We start from the raw sequence: 20,203 nt of genomic DNA on the forward strand, positions 1-20,203 counted from the left end.
ATACATGAAGAGGATTTAAAACTAAGAAATTGCAAAAATTCCCTTTTTCTGATATATGGAAGGTAGAAGTGAAAAGAAAAAACTTTTTTGTTCAACTTTTATTTTACGTTTGCGGGGTACATGTGCAGGTTTGTTAGCTGGGTATATTGTGAGATGCTGAGGTTTGGGATACAATCAATCTCATCACTCAGGTAGTGAGCATAGTATCCAACAGTTAGTTTTTCAACCCTTGGCCTCCTTCCTCCCTCCCCATTCTAGTAGTCCCTAGTTTCTATTGTTCCTATTTTTATGTCCATGAGTATTCAATTTATAAGTGAGAACATGCGAGATTTGGTTTTTAAGTTCCTGCAGTAAACTGATTAGCATAATGGCCCCCAACAGCATCCATGTTGCTTCACAGGACTTGATTTTATTCTTCTTTATGGATGCACAGTATTCCTTGGTGTATGGGTACCACAGTTTCTTTATCCAGTCCACCATTAATGAGCATCTAGGTTGATTCCATATCTTTGCTGTTGTGAATAGTGCTGTGATGAGCATAAAGGTGCATGTGTATTTTTGTTAAAATGACTTATTTTTGAGAAGTCATTTTGAAGATATATAAATGAAGTGGGCATGACCAAAAGAAACAGAAATAAGAGAAAGAGTATTCCTTCAAATGACTTCCAAAACTCTGACAGAGTTGGCTAAATTTCTGCCTCCTAGTCTCAAAAAGTATATGTAGATTTTTTAAATTTGAAAACTCTTTGTTTTGAAATGACTTAAGATTCACAAGAAGTTGCAGAAATAGAACACTTTCTCTGTACACTCACCAACCTGAACTCTCCCCCCCAAAATAACATCTCATATTATTAATACTGTAATATGTCATCAAAATCAGAATTGGTGTTGGTACAATACTATTAACCAGAGACTTTATGCAATTTTTACATGCACTCATCTTTTGTGTGTTTGCTTTTAGTACTATGACACTTTATCTCATATATAGATGTATAGATTCTTGCAACCATCACCACAATCAGGACACGTAACTGTCCCAATACCACAAAAAAATTCCCTCATATTACCCCTTAATAGCCAGATCCTCCCTGCAACCCTAACCCTGGCAACCACTGACTTGTTCTTCATGTCTAAAATTATGCCATTTAATACTGTTATATGAATAGAATCATGAAGTATGTAGCCTTTTGAGATGAGCTCTTTTCACTTAGCTTAATTTCCCTTAGATCCATCCAAGTTGTCGCATGTATCAGTAGCTTGTTCCTTTTCATTGCTGTATGGTGTTCCATCATATGACTGCTCCACAGTCTGTTGATTCATTCACTCACTGAAGAACGTTAGGATTGCTTATAGCTTTCTAGCTATTATAAGTAAAACTTCTATAAATGTCCACGTGAATGTTTTTGTATAAACGTAAGTTTCATTTTTCTAGGATACATACCCAGAAGTGTTATTGCTAGGTAGTTTGGCATACCTGAAATTTTAAAATGCATCTTTCCTTTAATTATTCACTATGATGTTGTTTCCTTTTTTACAAGTCAAGTTTCCCAAATAATATAATATCTATATTTCCCACCAGAATATGAGTCTTCCAAGGCAGAGGCCATGTCTTAATTATGATTGCACACCCAGTGGCTATTTCCATCACAAAGTAGACATAAAATAATGTTGTTTAGCTTTTCTCTCAAAATATCCAAGGCAGCTCCAAGTCATTTCTGATGGATCAGTCACTTATATTTACAACGAAGTCAATCACATATCTGAACAAAGAATTTACAAAGTACAGGGAGCCTGTGTGGTGCCATTCTGAGCAGCAATGATCTGAGTCTAGAATTCCATGCTTCGAAAACAGCTCTCTCTGCTCATGGTAACCACCATCTTGATCTTCTCTTCAATCTCTTAAACACATCAAGTATAACCACCAGTTACCCCAATTTTGGGGTGCTTGGTTGATTTTGAGCCTCTTTTATTGTAAAAGGCAAGTATTTAATCAAATCTCAAGGGAAGCAAAGGACATGTTCTAATAGAGAAGAACAAGGATCATATTTAAGTCATGAAGAGTATGGTGAGCACAGCTGAAAACAGTCATAATGGGAATAAAAAATTTACAGAGAATTTGGCTCCTGAAAATGTGCCAATGTACAATTTTAGTTAATAAAGGCAATTAATGATTTAATCTTTCAACTGTCTGAATAGATATTATTTTTCTTGAAATGGCAAAGTACATCTGTTGTTTTTGCTACTCACAACTTTCTCTTGATATCCCTCCTCCTCCTCCAAATCCAAAATTATATAGAGAGACATCCCCATCCCCACCCACTAATTGGAGCATGGGTGTTCATGTATTTGCATGACAGGATTTTCTCATCTCTTATGCTTCATGTGCTACTTATTATAGAGCCCTCAGTATATGTTATTGGCATCAAAGAACTCAGCCATGGCTGCCTTAGAACCAGAATGGAGCTAAATGTGCCAGATAAGACAATACTGACAACATGGTAGCAATTAAACTGCCTCAATATTTTCTGTTCATCATCTCTGTGTAAGAACCTAGGAAACAAAGTGGATGAAAAAATCTAGGGAAAGGAAAAAAATGGATAAGGACAGTGTTTGGAATCAGCACCTTGTTATCCTTTCATGGAAGGAACCACATCTCTTTCTTTCTCTCTTTTTCTCTGAAACTGTGTCAGGTCATTGTCAAAAAGTCATACAAAGGCAGGTTCAACTAGATAAAATGGAAAGTAAAATAAAAACTGAAAGTAAATGCAAATCTTATTTTTGAAAGTGATATTTTTCTCTCCTTGTATGAATTGCTTTGATCCAGACATGAAAAACTAAAGACTTAACTGAAATAAGAGTCTTGTTCCCACATGAGTTCCCATATGAGTACCAGTACTTGGAGGATTGCTTATTCAACATTTTGTCCACAATTGAGACATGGTATCAGGAAAGAGTAGTTTTAGCTGTGAGTGATAGAGATGCCCAAATAACAGTGGCATTTTGAACCATTGTTATTTGGTTGAAATGTACTGCTCTCATATCAAAATTAATTCTAGACATAAGCATTTCAGAGCTTATGTAGTCACTCCATGATCATTAGAAACCCAGGCTTCTTAAATTTCATTGTTCTATCATCCTTGACTTGTAGCTTTCACCCTATGGTCCAAGATGGCTTCTCGGGCTTCATGTTGTCCACAATTAAGCAGCAGAAGAAAGAAAAGTCAGTAGTACTTAGTCCCACTTCTAAGCATTCCTTGCTTAAAAATCTGCAGAAGTACTTAGTCCTACTTTTAAGCATTTCTTAAGCTGTATGTACTTATATCTCATTGGATAGAAATTAGTTACATTGTCACATCTAGCTTCAAAGAAGTGTGGGAAATGTAGTCCATATTTTGATTGGTCATATGCCCAGTTAATATTCAGAGATTCGATTATTAAAGGAGGGGAGAATGAATCTTGAGAAATCAATATCTGGCTCTGTCACAGGTTCTATATAGTAGTGATCTGTTTTTCATGGCTGCCCCAAATCTTTTGAACGTGCTCTTTTTTTTTTTTTTTTTTTTTTTTTTTTATGGAGTCTTGCTCCATCGCCCAGGCTGGAGTGCAGTGGCATGATCTTGGCTCACTGCAACCTCCGCTTCCCATGTTCAAGCAATTCTCCTGTCTCAGCCTCCCATTTTGCTGGGATTACAGGTGCCTGCCACCACTCCTGGCTAATTTTTGTATCTTTAGTAGAGACAGGGTTTCACCTTATTGGTCAGGCTGGTCTCGAACTCCTGACCTCAGGTAATCCATCCGCCTTGGCCTCCCAAAGTGCTGGCATTATAGGCGTGAGCCAGCGCGCCCAGCCTGAACATGCTCTTTTTTTTAATAGTTTCACTTTACAGTTTCTTTTATCATTGCAAATCCCTAGTGAGAGCGGTTAAAAGGCCAGAAATGAGGCTGGAAAGAGTGCAGGAGGCCAGTAGTGAAGGGTCTCATTCATCATGCCAAAGAGTACGGATTTTATAGGGAGGAATCTTTAGGTTTCCCTGGAACTTACAAAAGATACAATGGATGAGAAAGAGAGAGAGAGAGAGAGAATGCTTTTGATTACTATGCTTAAATCTATTTTAGCATGGAAGATGAAACAAAAATAAAATTGACATTCATTGCTCTTAAGTAGCTTATAATTTTATAGAGAAAATATGTCCATAACTAAAATCCAATGCAAAGTGATAAAAGTTTATAGCTCCTTTTAATTTACAGAGTACTTCTACATAAATGATTGAGTGAATGACTGAAGCAAAGAAATGGAATCCAAAGAGGAAAAGATATTTTGGGAAAATGAGTAGTTTGTTTTGACCAACTAGAAACTCATATAGGAGAAAAGTAAAAAAAGCCTAACAAAAATAATTAAGACTAGATCACATAATATATTGAGCATAATATTCCTTGTTTCCGAACTTATAAAAGTAAGAACATAGACCTCAGAATCTCTGAGTACACAAATCGCACTTGCTTGCACTTAAACCTTGACTAGACTAAATACTATTTCAAATGCTGGTGATTCCAAGAAAAATCTAGTCACCACTGACAAATAAATACTACTGCTGATTCATAATCAACTACATAAGGCCAACTATGTGAAGCTGTAGAAAACTATAACCTCACTGCTTTGATCTTTTCACTGGCTCCTGAGTAGTGACCTAGGATATTTGCAGTCTGTCTCCACATATACTTATTTTTGTCTGTTATCTATTACTGTGTAACAAACCATCCCCAAGAGATAGTGGCTTAGGACAACAGCAACTTAGTATTTCTGAAGGTTTTGTGGATATTTCTGATTCACTTGGTATCAGCTGAGGTGCTGGGAAGACTGGATGTTCCAAAATGCTCTTACTTATATTTTTAGCAGTTGGTGCCCTGACTGGGAGCTCAGCCAAGGGCCTCAGTTTTTATCTACTTGGGCCTCCCCCTTGAACTGCTTGGGCTTCCTCGCAGCATGGTAGTGAGCATGGTAGTGAAGATCTAAAAAGGACTGTTCCAAGTGGCAAAGGTGGAAGTTATAGATCTTTTAACAACAAAACTCTGAAGTTACACAGCATAATATCTGCCCCCATTCTTTTGTTCAAAGTGGGTCATTGGAGCATCACAAATTTAAGGGGAGAGAAAATAGACTTCATGTCTCGATAGGAAAGTGGCAAGGTCATATCACAAGGAAGTAGATGGGATGGCCGATATTATTATAATCATCTTTGTAAAAACAATCTACCACTATTTATCTTCTGGACATAAGAATTCATATTCCTGACACTTGAAAAATATTCTTAGCCTATCTCCCCAAAATCTCATCCCATTTTAACATTAGGCTCATACTCAAGTTCCAGGACTTTTTTATCTAAATTAGATCAGGTTAAGAATGAATCCTCTTGGGTACAAAGACCTATGAACTATCTACTACTCCATTCCTATGCCCAACAAACAATGGGGAGATGTCTCCCCGTAATAGACATTCCCAATCAAAAAGGGGGGAACAATTACATTTAGGTCAACTGTTTATACAAATTTTGATATCCAGCCAGACAGATGTTGGTAATCTGTGTGCCAGTTTCAAAAAATTTACATTGATTGGGGCCCACTGCTGGTCCCTATGAATAATTCTCCTTAGTTTTTTGTTCTGCTTTCAAGATCTTAGGCCAGTGAGTCATTCTTTCTTTTCCATATGAAGTGGGCAATGTTTGTAGTTGAGAAATTTTCTCATCCTGCTTTCTGACCATAGAATGTTAGGAGTCCAGAAATCTTGATTCATTTTGAACTCTCAGTCCTTTTTAGTCTAAGCTGGTAGTACCTACTCTGACAGTTTTCTTAGGAACTTTGTAGGTTTCCTGTGACTCTTATTGGAATTAGCATCATTGTACATAAGCCACACACACTTAATAGAACTAGCATCCACACCTACTGGGGTTAAGGTCACACTCTTAAAGACAGGCACCTTTCAACCTTGAGGTGAGGATTGGGGCGCTGTGAGATGTTGCCCTTGAAAGTTTTACAAGTACTTTTTTCTACTTTTTTCACCTGAAACAGCATGAACTCAAGATGTTTAAAAGATTTTTTTTTTTTTTAAGACAGAGTCTTGCTTTGTCACCAGGCCTGAAATGAAGTGAGGCAATCATTGCTCACTGCAGCCTTCAGCTCCTGGGCTCAAGCAATCCTCCTGCCTCAGATTCCCAAAAAATTAAGACTACAGGCATGTGCCACCGTATCCAGATAATTTTAATTTTTTTTTTTTTTTTGTAGAGACATGGTCTTGCTATGTTTCCCAGGCTTCTGACCTCAAGTGACCCTCACCCCTCTGCTTCCCAAAGTGCCGAGACTACAGACATGAGCTACTGCATCTGGCCTAAAAACCTTTTTTTTTTTTTTTTAATCTAGCTGAGAAGTCTAGGAAGCAAAGGCTTTAATATTTATGAGGTCTTAACAAAGAGTCTAACGAACACATCCTTTACTTGATTCTGATCTGAGACATTGTATCAGCATCATCCTGGGTTTGATCTTTTCCCAGAGCCATTTCTTACTTTGCCAACTTATTGCCATCTGGAGAGGCTTGGACCAAGAAACAGTTTTGTTTTCCAACTTTGAAACTTTTAGTTTGGAAAATTCTTCTCTAAACTCTGCTTGAAATCCGAATTTGTTTTTTTAGGTCCTCTCTCTTTTTCATCACTTTATTATCAGCAGTTAAAAGAAGCTAATTGACGCACTCAGCATCCTGCCTGGAAATCACTTTTGCCAAATCCTTAAGTTCATTATTTGTATTTTTTGTTTTCTGTGTTACTGTAGATGACAGTGTTGCCAAATTTTCTATCACTATATGATACTGGGCACCCTTCCTCCAGCCTCCAATGTTAATTACCGCATTACATTTTTAGCCTCCACTAAGTCTTCCTACTTTTCTCTATGCCTGTGCTCAGTCTCAGCTCAAAGACAATGCCATGTGTTTTAGGTTTAGCTATGGCTCTACTACATCTCTATACTGCCCCCAAATTTAGTTGCTTATAACAATAAAAATTTTTCATATCTCAAGTTTCCATGAATTGACTAGGGGGTTCTTTTGTTTCCAATGATGCTGGTTTAAGTGCCAGGACAAATGGGAAGTCCAAAAATGGTGTCACTGATCTGCTTGGCAGTTGGTGCTCAGTGCTAGTTGATAACTCATCCAGTTCTGACAGTTAGGGGTCTTGGTTATCCTGTATATGGACCCCTCCACACATCTTTTTATGCTTCCTGGACATGTTTTACTAAATTTGTTTATTTTTTGAGACAGGATCTCACTCCAGTTGCCCAGGCTGGAGTACAGTAGTGTGATCTCAGCTCACTGCAGCTTCGACCTCCTGGGCTCAGGTGTCAGAGTAGGTACTACCAGCTTAGACTAAAAAGGACTGAGAGTTCAAAATGAATCAAGATTTCTGGACTCCTAACATTCTACAGTCAGGAAGCAGGATGAGAAAATTTCTCAACTGCAAACATTGCCCACTTCATATGGAAAAGAAAGAATAACTCACTGGCCTCCCAAAGAGTTGGGATTACAGGCATAAGTCACCATGCCCAGCCCATTAAATTTAGTTTATTTCTTTAACTTTAGCATTGTGAGGTAGATCTTATCACACCCATTTATTCAACAAATAGCACCAATGAGTAGCAGCGATATGCCAGGAACTATGGTTGATTTATAAGAATAAAGAGTCGAATAAGACATTATTCCTTGCCTTAAAAGCTAATATCTCATGGAGGATTTAATCAATGATTACAGTGCAAACTTATATGGTGAAACTGAGGTTCAAAAGTTTAAGTACATTGCTTCTCATCTAACAGCTGACCCAAAATTTGAACATTTATCTGCCGGATTTCACAATGTATACTTTCCCTGTGGCACAACTGAGTATTTAGAAAGTTAATATGAGTGTCCAAACCAATGGCAATTAAGATTTGGAAACTGGAAATGAATAATGAATCAAATGCAAAAATACTGCCCAACTGGAATAGACAGGACTTGATGATTGCTTAGATTTGGTAGATAAGGCCAACAGTAGAATAAAAGGTGAGTCTTATGGTACTGAAGTTGGGAAATCAGAAGGAAACGTAGTAAATGATGATGCTATTTGTTTTATCCATGTTTAATTTAAGAGACCAACTAGATATACAGATGTTATCCAGCAAGCAAAGATTAAAACTTTTCTTTCATTTATTTTAATTTTTATGAGCACCTACCATATGTCTGGTACTGAGTAGGTGAATAAGAAGCCAGATCTCCAGTGTCAATGATTTATTAATTGGCAAAGACAGTCCTACAGGCAAGTGATTATACTTGGATGTGATAAGGGCCACAATAAAGGTAAATACACAAGTAGGTGCAAGGGAACAGAATAAAGTAAAGATAACACTAGGGGAATTAATTGTATTTGGGTGGCCATTACAACAGGGTGTGGATGCAATTGCTAAGTGAAGGGAAGAAAGAAAATGTTCCAGGACAGTCACTAGGATAAGGATCCACGGAAGAGAATAGGAGGAAAGTTCAAGAGGTAGGAATAGGACCACCCACAGAAGTTAAGAGAAGATTACATTTCCAAAAAGACACCGCAGTCCTGGAAGAGTCACAGGGAGGCAGCCCAACAGAACGAGATGCGTCTAGAGCATTAATGTGTAATACAGGTAAGATAGACAAAGAGGATGCAGACCGAGAAAGAGATTGTTTTATTGGACTTGAATTCAGTTTTTCTTTCTGTTTATATGGAAGTCAGATAAACTATGATAATTCCATCTTTCAGAGACATTAAAATGACTCCCAGACAAGCAAGTATATTGGTTATATAGCTGTATCATAATGACTCATATCCCAGGAAGGGATAAATGAACTATAAGCTGAATGAGAAAGAAACACTTAGCTAAGATAATTAAGTTGGCTAGGCTTAATTGAGGGTTCAGAAGCTCCTAGATTTGGAATGAAAATGGTAGAGGAAAAGCTTATTTCAAATATGGAAGGACAATTTCGGGTTAAAAACTGAGTAGGCCTCAGGATTTAGAGTCTGAGCTGTCCCATTTCAACTTCTTATTCTGCATGAAGAAAATTTCATCATAAAAATAGAAATAGCTAGATGTTTGGAAAGTACAGGACAACAATTCATTTTTAAACTTTCTATTTCCTATAAGAACCATTTAACCAATACAGAAAAACATTTATAATAGGATGTTAAAATTGTTCTTTCCTTTCTCTGTTTCAGCTGAAACCCCCCAAAGGCTGAGAACAAAATGATTGGTGCCAAATAACCTCCACAATCTAAAATAAGAAGCCAGGCCATATATGCAGGACTTGCAAAAGAAGTATTCTGGAAATTTCCTTTGGCAACCCCTAGCATAAGAACTGTCTCAAGGATATTTAAAAGGTTGGAGAGCCAAAAAAGAGGACTACTATTTTTTGAGACTTCCAATTTCTTTGGAGAGAGCTATTAGAATGGTATGGCAATCACCACCAATTCTGACTTAACACACACACCTCACTGCCCTGACAGAGGAGAGCAAAGTGTACTTATCCCTGACCTCAAGCCAAGTAAGTGGAGATGAAGAAAACTACTCAAAGAAATTGGCAATCTATGAAATACATAGACTGATGCCATCTTTATTTCAAGAAAAGTTCAAATGTAGGACATTGTGGTGGCTTCATTGGTCAGCAGCTGCACTCATCCCATGTTTCCCAGGAATTAATTGTAGGGCTCAAACTGGGATTCAGCTTGGATCCCACACAAAAAGAGCTGTCTAGAGGGAAGACAAGACCCCAACAGAGTCGACAGACCACTGGGTGCCCATGGTCTGGGAGGAATTATAAGCAGACACCTAGCAGAGAACCTCAGGAAATGTGGCTGGAGGTTGCCAGTGGGAAAATCTTTTAGAAATCCATAAAAGCTCCTCATGAGATAATGAGTCAGCTTTGGACAACCACCAGGCCCTGAAATCAACAAAGTGAGATCATGATGGTATGACAGTACTAGCATGTTAAATCTTTACTGCCCCGAACGTCTCTTCCTCCTTTCACTCCCACCCCCACCCAAGCCACTCCCAAACTGAAGGAGTCAAAGGCATCTTATTATTGTATGGTGACATAGGAGCTTTAGCCTCAAATGAAGCTTGGAGTCCTGATTACCATCATGGACTGGCAATTTTAATTCTGAAGTAAGATGGTTATTGCATCTAGAAGTATGAGGGAATTTTTATTAGCTAAAAATAATATAGCCACTGGAGAAGCTATGAAACCTGCTCAAGATTTTATTCAATGCCCAGGGAAGAAATTGTCTACACAGCTGTTTTAAAGGAGCAGTGTATTTTGTTTTCTTCTCACATTCTGAATCTCACATATTTGTTATAATCTTTACACTTAGATTGTGTTATCTTTTTAGTCCAGTATAACATAATGATTAAAGGTGCTACTTGTGAAGAAAGAGTTCCTAGATCCACCACCCACAGCTTGTGTCAACTTGGGCAAATGACCTGGTCATTCCAAGCTTTCTGCTCTGGAAAGTGGAAATAGTAATTGTACTTACATCATAGTGTTGATGTGAGGGCTAAAATCAAATTATGTAGGCAAATCCCTTAGTATTGCAGCTACCATAGTGAGTGCTTGATAAGTTTTAGCTACCTAGTTATTAACTAGTTATCAAATGGTCACAATTAGTCTCTTTTTTCTCATCCCAAAGAGCTTACTGGTTGCTATTTGTCTGTACCAAATACTACTACTAATTTCATTGCTACTCATTAAACTCACCATGTGGATGTAGATTTGTAGCTCTTCTCTGAAGTACAGTGTCACAGCTCTGCAAAAATGTAGGGTGGGAAATGGAAGGCACTGCATCCAATTGAAAACTGCAGGCAAACTTGAGCAAGCAGAAAGTGATTACTTTGGCATCTCCCCAGTTCCCTGCAGAGTAGAAAATTCTCTGAATCCCTGGTAGGAATGGCCTAGCATTTTGGAAGACTCCTGGACTCCTCCTAGTTATTCTCCACCGTTTTTGAGAGAATCACTTCACTGAAACTCTAGTTGTGTGGGGCACATGCCATTCTGATTTTTTCAAATATTTCAACTTATTTTATAAGAATGGTTTTCTGACTCCTTCCTTATGGTAGAAAGGGAAAGCGTCAACATAATTTAAGCTGAATGTTCTAGAACATTGAAAGCCACCCATCTTAAAGAGCATGAGATGGTCAGTTTCAGGTGTTTTCTCTTTCTTGCTAGATCTTACGAGAAAAGAGCCCATGAAAACTAAAATGCAAACGATAAGGTTACTCAAAAAAAAAAAGATTGGCACTCAGAAGGTAGTATGCATATTAAGCAGCTGTTGTTTCTGTCTAGCCATATAGAGGCGTCCATCATTGTGCTACAGGAGCTTATAAACGAAAGAGACCTTAGGGGTCATCTACATCAGCCCTAGTCCCTTGCTATCCGGCATTCATCTGTAACTCTCGCAACTGATGATCTATAGTTTCTGTAATTATTTGTTTGGCTTGGATGCTGAATACTTATTTTATTTTATTCAATGGTTTCCTTTGGAAATATAATACATTAAATGGTTCAAAATTTAAAAGGCACAAAAGAGTATACAGTAAAATGTTTCTATCTTCCCCTTAGTCACAGCCAACCAGCAGCTCTTTTCAAAGGGAATTAATGTTATCAGTTTAATATGAATCCATTCAAAGAACAGAATTGGAACAATGAATGTACGTGCGTAGAAATTTCCCCTTTTCTATTACACTTGTTGCAGTATATTACTCATATGTTTTGTACCTTAATTTTTAACCTAAAAATGTATTTCAGAAATTATTCCATATCTGTACATACACACTTCCTAATTTTTTAGAGCTGCATAGTTTTCTGTTGTATGCGTGCACCATAATTTAACTACTTTGCTATTTGTAGATATTTAAACTGTTTCCAATAATTTGCTACCTCAAATAATGCTGTGATGAATGATTTTGCAGAAAAGTGTTTCCCTTAGATATGTGATATAATTGTAGACCAAATCCCAGAAGTAAAATTGAGTAAAAGGATACGTGCATTTGTCATTTGGTACCATGTGCCCCTCCTCAGGATATTAACAAAACTGTGGACACTTGCACACTGTTAGTCCTACTGCCTATGAGTTTTCTGAATAAGCCTAATTTTCTCTCACCCCACGTGACATGAGTGTGAATGTGTGTCAGTTACCTTTGCATAGATGGTACCAAATGACAAATGCATGAATTATCAAAGATTAAAAAATACAATAATGTCTTTGTGGCAGGGTTATGGAGAAATAGGCACTATCACTCATTGGTGGTGTGAGAGTAAATTATTTTTGTGTCTGTGGAAGTCGGTTAGACTATGTCTAGCTGAGGAGAGAGGATTCTTCTGACTCCTGGGTATCCCTCACAGCTCTGTCTCACCTGGCTTTTTATCTTCCCCCCTAATAGTTCCAAAGATCAGGTTCACCAGGCTGGAGTTAGATCGTTGGGTTAACACAAGACCTCTTGTTAATATCAGGAGCATTAGTCTGCAAAGGCTGCAACTGAGCTCTGGTCCCACAAGAACATTTCCCACTCCAGGAATCATTGCTTGTTACAGAACTAAGGAAGTATTTTCTGTCTAGTCATTCTGTAAATGAAAACAATAATAAAAAAGAATGAAAACTATTGTATTTAGTTTAAATTTCGTCATTATCTGATCTAAGCATCTTTTCATATGTTTTTAAATAACTTATTTTCCTCTTTTTACCTGTTCATATCATTCTGTTTTTATATTGGATTATGTGTCCTTTTTTATTGATTTCTGTAGGAAATTTTTATCTTCTTATAAAGACACCAGCCATTGAATTTGTGGCCCACCCTAAGCCAGTACGCCCTCATTTTAACTAATTACGTGTTCATGGCTCCATTTCCAAATATGGTTGCATCAGAGGATGTTCGCAGACATGAATTTTGAGGGCTAGAATTTGACCCACTACACTACATATATTTTATTATTACTCTTTACTGTCTACTGTTAAAGCAAACGAAATATGGCCTGAGAAAGACTCCATACTTCTATATTTGAGCCCTTGTGGATGAACTGCAACCTAACTTAATAGGTAGACAAGTTCAAAAACCTAACTTAGGAGTATGCACCTGTAACAATCACGAGTTCTGGCCAATCCCTCCAGCCATACTTCAACCAGTCATACACTGCTGAGTGTTCAAACTGTGTTTAAATAAAGCAAGCACTGAGCTGTAACCAATCCAGCTGTTTCTGTACCTCACTTCCAATTTCTGTACCTCACTTCCCTTGTTTTTGGTCTATAAATCTTCTTCTACCACATGGCTGTTCTGGAGTTTCTCTGAATCTGCTGTGATTCTGGGGGCTGCCTGATTCACAAACCATTCATTACTCAGTTTAAATAACTGAGCAATAACTCCTTTGAATTTAATTCAGCTTAAGTTTTCTTTTTAACACTACTCATACTTACCTTTACAAAAGAGTACCTTAGGAATCTCTGTGACATATCATCAGGGACCATCTTGAGCTTCATGTGTGAATAACACTCTTGGACACAAAGAAACACAAATATATTACAACAAATTCTTCCATTATTGACTCGGTTCATTCCGGTTTGCTGAAGCAAGCAGAACATATTTATTCTGAAGACATGCCATCTTCCCCTTTCCTTCCTCCTTTGACTTATTAGATGTGAATATGAATAATTTTAATTGGATGAATTTAAATGATTTTAAATAAATGATTTCATCATGCATTCTCTAGTTTGCCACTAATTTGTATAGGGTAGTATAATGGTTTTCAAAGTATGGTCCCAGTGATACAGGAAAAATGAGCCCCAAAATTGAGGCATAGGCTGTGAGAGTTCTTGGCTTTGCCCAGGAAAAAATTCAAGGGTGAGCCAGTAGTGGTGTTAGACAGCAAATTTATTGCAGCAGCAGGGTACAGCAGTAGTAGAGGTACTGCTCTTTGCAGAGCAGGGCTAAGCCATAGGCAGTGTGCTCAGAGTGGGAGCTCGGGGGCAGCGCTCCAGTCATATTAATACCCACTTTTAATTATATGCAAATTATGGGACAGGTTATTCAGAAATTTCTAGAAAAAGGGTGGTAACTTCTGGGCCATTGCCATGGAAAGCAAGAGTAACTATTGGGTGTTGCCATGGCAATGGTAAACTGGCATGGCACTGGTGGGCTTGTCTTATGAAGAAGTGCTTTTGCCTCTTCCCTATTTCAACTAGTCTTCAATCTGGTCCAGAGCTCAAGCCCTGCCTCTGGAGTTGAGTCCCACCTTCTGCCTCACCAAGGCCACATTATCAGCATCATCTGAGAACTTGTTATAAATGCAAACTGAATCAAAATCCTGGTAGTGGAGATCACGCTCTATTTTAACAAGCCATCTAGGTGATTATGATGCATGTTCAGTTTGACAAGCACCTGAATAATACGTAAGAGCACCTACTCTAAATTCAGAATGTCTGGGTTTCAAGCCTAAAGAGCTTGTCTCATTTTACCTGAGTAACCCTGGACAAATTACTCAACTTTTCTGTTTCATCTTCTATAAAAGGACATATTGGTGGTAACAGCATATTTCTAAAAGAGTTCCTACGAGGATTCAATGAGTTAATCCACATAGAATGCTTAGAACAGAGCTTGGCACTAAGCAAGTACCAGATAAATGTCACCTGAATCTTTGCTGCTGTTACAACAAAAACCTGCCTGCTTCACTCATTTGCATCACATTCCCTTGCTGCTGAAGACAATCAAATTTGCAGTGCTGGCCTAAAATGTCTTAAAATATACTTTGCCTCGTTTGGGAAATTAAAATATCTATTATTTTCTAAGCCTCTTACCTGCCATTTTCATCATCTCTCCAAATAAAGGGAAGCTAGTGGTACTATAATCACATCTGCAAGTCATTTTTGTATTCTGAAACGTAAACCAATTGAATAAAGGGTACTTCTCATGGGCACGGAAATTAGACTTAATTTAAACCATGAGGAATTCTCTTACCAAGTTCTCACCCATTCCAGATTTCACTTTTTTGCTAATGATATTTTTCTGTATTTCCCCAGATTAAATGTCTTTCTCATTAATAGCTAGTATGAGAGAAAAAAGTTCTTCCTTTATTATAATTAGAGCATTTGCATTTTTTCCTGATGATGGGTCTATTATTTCATTGGGTCTATACGCTTCTTTGAAATGGTACATGGTGAAACTGCCTTTAGTCATTTATTCAGTAAGTATTTATTGTGTGCCTACTATATGCCAAGTAGTGATCTGTGTGTTAGGGATACAGCAATGAACAGAACAGACAAAACTTCCTACCGTCATGAACTTTACCCTTTAGCTGTAGTAATAGACAATATACAATAAACACATAAATAAATAAAATTACTTTGTAGTTCAAGAAATCAATGCTATAGGAAAATACATGATGAGGTAAGGAGGATTGACAGTATTAGTGAGTGCAATTTTAAACAGTGTTTAAGATGATTGATTTACTATTTGTTTCATTATGTTTTCCCCCTTTAGAAAAATGAAAGTTTAGGGTGAGACCTGCACCCTTTGTGTTAAACTTCCTGGGGTATCAGTTCTATCTAGGTCTCAGTGAAAGTAGTTTCCAGGACCTGATCCAGATTGACCAATTCTTTTCATAGAACAGTCTATTCATTCCCTAGAGCTGCAGTCACAGATAACCATGAACTTTTACTACTATTCCAGCCTAAAGCAATAGAAATGTACTCTCTCATAGTTCTGGAGGCAAGAGTTCAAAATTAAGGAGTCTGAAGGATGGATTCCCTCTGCAGGTTCTGAGGAAGAACCCACTTCATGCCCCTTTCTAGCTTCCAGCAGCTTCCAGCAATCCTCAGTGTTCTTTGACTTGTAGACTCGCCACATCAATCTCTGCCTCCATTTTCACATCACTTTCTTCCTGGTGTCTTTGTGTGTCTTCTCCTCTTTTTAAAGATGTTTTATTGAATTTTGGGCCCACCTGGATAATCCAGGATAATCTAATTTAGAGATGATTAACTAAACACTATCTGCAAAGACCCTTTTTCCAAATAAATCATATACACAAGTTCCAAGTAAAATTTCTCTATATCTATCTATCCAGCTAGCAAGTTATATTGCTATCTAGCTATCTATCTGATATGGTATGGCTCTGTGGCCCCACCCAAATCTCATCTCAAATTGTAATCCCCATGTTTTGAAGGAGGGAGCTGGTGGGAAATGACTGGATCATGGGGGCCTTTCCTCCCATGCTGTACTCATGATAGTGAGTGAGTTCTCATGAGATCTGATTGTTTTACAAGGCAGTTTTCCCTGCTCTTGCACACTTTCTCTTGCCTGTTCTCCTTCTGCCATGATTGTAAGTTTCCTAAGGCCTCCCCAACCATGTGGAATTGGGAGTCATTTAAGCCTCTTTCCTTTATAAATTACCCAGTCTTTGGCAGTTCTTGATAGCAGGTGAGAACAAACTTATACAGTAAATTGGTACCATGGACAGTGGGGTGCTACTGTAAGGATAACTGAAAATTTGGAAGTGACTTTGGAACTGGGTACCAGGAAGACGTTGAAATAGTTTGGAGGGCTCAGAAGAAGACATGAAATGTGGGAAAGTTTGGAACTTCCTAGAGACTTGTTGAATGGTTTTGACCAAAATGCTGATAGTGATATGGACAATGAAGTCCAGGCTGAGATGGTCTCAGATAGAGATGAGGAACTCATTGGGAACTGGAGCAAAGGTCACTCTTTCTATGCTTTAGCAAAGAGACTGGCAGCATTGTGCCCCTACCCTAGAGAACTGTGGAATTTTGAACTTGAGAGAGCTGATCTGAAATTAGAACTTATGTTTAAAAGGGAAGCAGAGCATAAAAGTTTGGCAAATTTGCAGCCTGAAGAAAAACCCATTTTCTGGGGAGAAATTCAATCCTGCTGCAGATATTTGAATAAGTAACAAGGAGCCAAATGTTAATCACCAAGACAATGAAAAAATGTCTCCAGGGCATGTCAGAGGTCTTCACAGCAGCCCCTCCAAATCACAAGCCTGGTGGCCCAGGAGGAAACAATGGTTCCCTGGGCTGGGCCCAAGGCTTTGCTGCTTTATGCAGTCTCAGGACTTGGTGCTCTACATCCCAGCCATGGCTAAAAGGGGCCAATGTACAGCTCAGGCTGTTGCTTCAGAGGGTGCAAGCCCCAACCCTGGGAGGCTTCCATGTGGCGTTGGGCCTGCAGGTGCACAGAAATCAAGAATCGAGGTTTGGGAACCTTTACCTAGATTTCAGAGAATGTATGGAAACACTTGGATGTTCAGGCAGAAGTTTGCTGCAGGTGCAGAGCCCTCATGGAGAACCTCTATTATGGCAGTGCAGAAGGGAAACGTGGGGTTGCAGCCCCCACACAGAGTCCCTACTGGGGCACTGCCTAGTGGAACTGTGAGAAGAGGGCCACCATCCTCCAGACCTCAGAATATTAGATCCGCCAACAGCTTGCACCATTGCACCTGGAAAAGCTGCAGACACTCAATGCCAGCCTGTGAAAGCAGCAGGGGGCTGCATCCTGCAAAATCACAGGAGTGGAGCTGCCCAAGACCCTGGGAGCCCACCTCTTGCATCAGCAGATGCAAGAGATATGGAGTGAGATATGGATGTGAGATATGGAGTCAAAGGAGATTATTTTGGGGCTTTAAGATTTAATGACTCTGTCATTGGATTTTGGACTTGCATGGGATCTGTAGCCCCTTTGTTTGGTCAATTTTTCGCATTTGGAATGAGAGCATTTATCCAATGCCTGTACCCCCATTTTATGTTGGAATTAGCTAACTTGCTTTTGATTTTACAGGGAGGGGCTTGTCTCAAATGAGACTTTGCACTTGGACTTTTGAGTTAATGCTGAAATGAGTTAAGACTTTGGAGGACCGTTGGGAAGGCATGATTGGTTTTAAAATGTGACGACATGAGATTTGGGAGGGGCCAGGTTTGAATGACATGGTTAAGCTTTGTGTCCCCACTCAAATCACATTGGGAATTGTAATTTCCAGGGGTTTAGGAACAGACCTGGTGGGAAGTGATTGGATGGAGGGGGCAGTTTTCCCCATGTTGTTCTCATAGTAGTGAGTGAGTTCTCATGAGATCTGATGATTTTTGTAAGGCAGTCTTCCCTGCTTTTGCTAGCACTCTGTCTCCTGCTGGCATGTGAAAAGATCCAAGTTTGCTTCCCCTTCACCTTCCACCATGATTGTAAATTTCCTGAGGCTTCCCTAGCCATGTGGAACTGTGAGTCAATTGAACATCTTTCTTTTATAAATTATCCAGTCTCAGGTAGTATCTTAATAGCAATGTGAGAACAGATTAATACACTATCTATCTATCTATCTCTAGATATATACAGATACAGATAGAGAGATAGATAGATAGATATCTCTATGTATCTAGAGATAGACAGATTTTTTTTTGGTGGAGGGGTACCATTTAACCCACTGCAGTTAATGCCCTGTATCTAAAAGTTTACAGCTATTGTAGTGATAACTCCCTGCCTGCAATAATAAATACTAGGAGGCAACAGCTGTTGCCAATTTAAGTACAAAATTAGGACACCAAGATTAGGTTTCTCCATTGCAAAATGTAGGCCAATTCAACACCAACCTGTGACTCTACCTGTACACTGGTGCTGGTCTAAAAACTTTGGCTTGTCCATGAGGTTATAACAACAGAATTTAAGAGTAAGCATTTAAAAAACTCCATTAGCAATTTGACACGGTAAATGAAAGATAATAATAATAATGAAGCTTCTATTTTTAAAGTCTTTTTAGAATTTTATAGTTCTAGTAATTCAGTTTTATTTTTTAAAATATTGGTCTGAGCTGAATTTAAAAAGTATATAAACCTGATCCTTCATCACAGGTTGTTTGAGAAGCACTGGTATAAACTGTCATTGGTAAAACTAGAATATAACAATATGCCTCCACAATTACGTTCATTCAAAGGAGAGAAAACACATCAGTCTCAGGAACTGAAGGGATGTGCTTCATGGACAATGTGCTGTATATCATAGATAATAATTTCTAATTGCCCTGTTTAATGTACTTCAGCATGTAGCTTTTATCACTGCTATGGTACCTACCTATCCCACACTGATATAATAAAACCCCAAAATACCTACGAGGTCAGGACAATTGAGTCAAGTTTTGGCTTACAAGTTAATATCTGTTTTACTATAGACAGCTCATTCTGCCTCTCTAGTCAAATTTTCTCATCTGTAAACAGATATGTATCTTTTTGGCTTTGACATTCTATTTAGCACCACTATCACCACCACCACCACCACCAAAAATAAAGTGTAATACAAAACAGGAACTATCTCACTTAGAGGGTAGCTAAGGAGATGAACATCCTTTTCCTAACTAACATTTTAATACACAATTTTTCAAACACTAAACGGAGTAGAACAAATTTTGCAGTAAACATACATATGACCACAACCTAGTTTACCATTAAATTTTTTCTTGTGCATGTGTACCACCCATCTCTCTAACCCTCTCTGCAATAATTATTTAATAAATTTTCATGATCTTGATCAGAGTTTTTGATGTATTTCTAAGGAAACAGTAAATAGCAGTAGACTTCTACTTAAATACTTCAACATACTTATCACTATTAAATATTTGTATATAGTTTTATTTTGATGTAAAATTTACATACAATGAAATCTTAAAAGTATTCTGAGAACTGACAAATACATGCATTTGTGTAACCAAAACACCTATCAAGATATAAAACATCAGCATCAATTCAAAGACAACACAGTGCTGATTTTTCTACCCTAGATTAGATTTTTCTGTTCTAGAACTTCATATACATGTAATCATGTTTGTTCCTTTATATGCAAGTATGTTAGTCCGCTTTCACACTGCTATAACAAAAAGCCCAAGACTGAGTAATTTAAAAAGAAAAGAGATCTAATTGACTCACAGTTCTGCATGGCTAGAGAGGCCTCAGGAAACTTACAGTCATGGTGGAAGGCAAAGGTAAAGCAAGTACCTTCTTCACGTGGTGGCAGAAAAGAGAGAGCTAGCAAGAGCACAGAAAACTACCTTATAAAACCATCTGATCTCATGAGAACTCACTCAATATCATGAGAACAGCATGAGGGAGACCGTCCCCATGATCTAATC

The 20,203-nt window shown here is 38.2% G+C and overlaps 2 long non-coding RNA genes across 3 annotated transcripts in view; one reads left to right on the plus strand and one right to left on the minus strand.

Annotated features, from left to right (window-relative positions):
• LOC107984630 (uncharacterized) overlaps positions 1–11,100 on the plus strand; it is a 28,603-nt gene extending 17,503 nt beyond the window's left edge. Inside the window, exon 3 of the long non-coding RNA XR_001751015.3 lies at positions 9,258–11,100. This is a non-coding gene — a long non-coding RNA (uncharacterized LOC107984630). The remainder of the gene's footprint in view (positions 1–9,257) is intronic.
• LOC112267892 (uncharacterized) lies at positions 10,859–14,987 on the minus strand. 2 transcript variants are annotated; one of them, XR_001751016.2, is made up of 3 exons: positions 13,503–14,045; positions 12,448–12,655; positions 10,859–10,945 (listed from the first exon to the last, which is right to left on the minus strand). It is a non-coding gene; the product is annotated as an uncharacterized LOC112267892 (long non-coding RNA). The 2 variants fall into 2 exon arrangements; XR_007064285.1 differs by lacking the exon at positions 10,859–10,945 and adding an exon at positions 14,880–14,987 and having other exon boundaries at positions 12,238–12,655; positions 13,503–13,579.
• Positions 14,988–20,203: the final 5,216 nt, after the last annotated feature.

This window comes from Homo sapiens, chromosome 14 (assembly GCF_000001405.40).
Source record: "Homo sapiens chromosome 14, GRCh38.p14 Primary Assembly".
Classification (NCBI taxonomy): domain Eukaryota; kingdom Metazoa; phylum Chordata; class Mammalia; order Primates; family Hominidae; genus Homo; species Homo sapiens.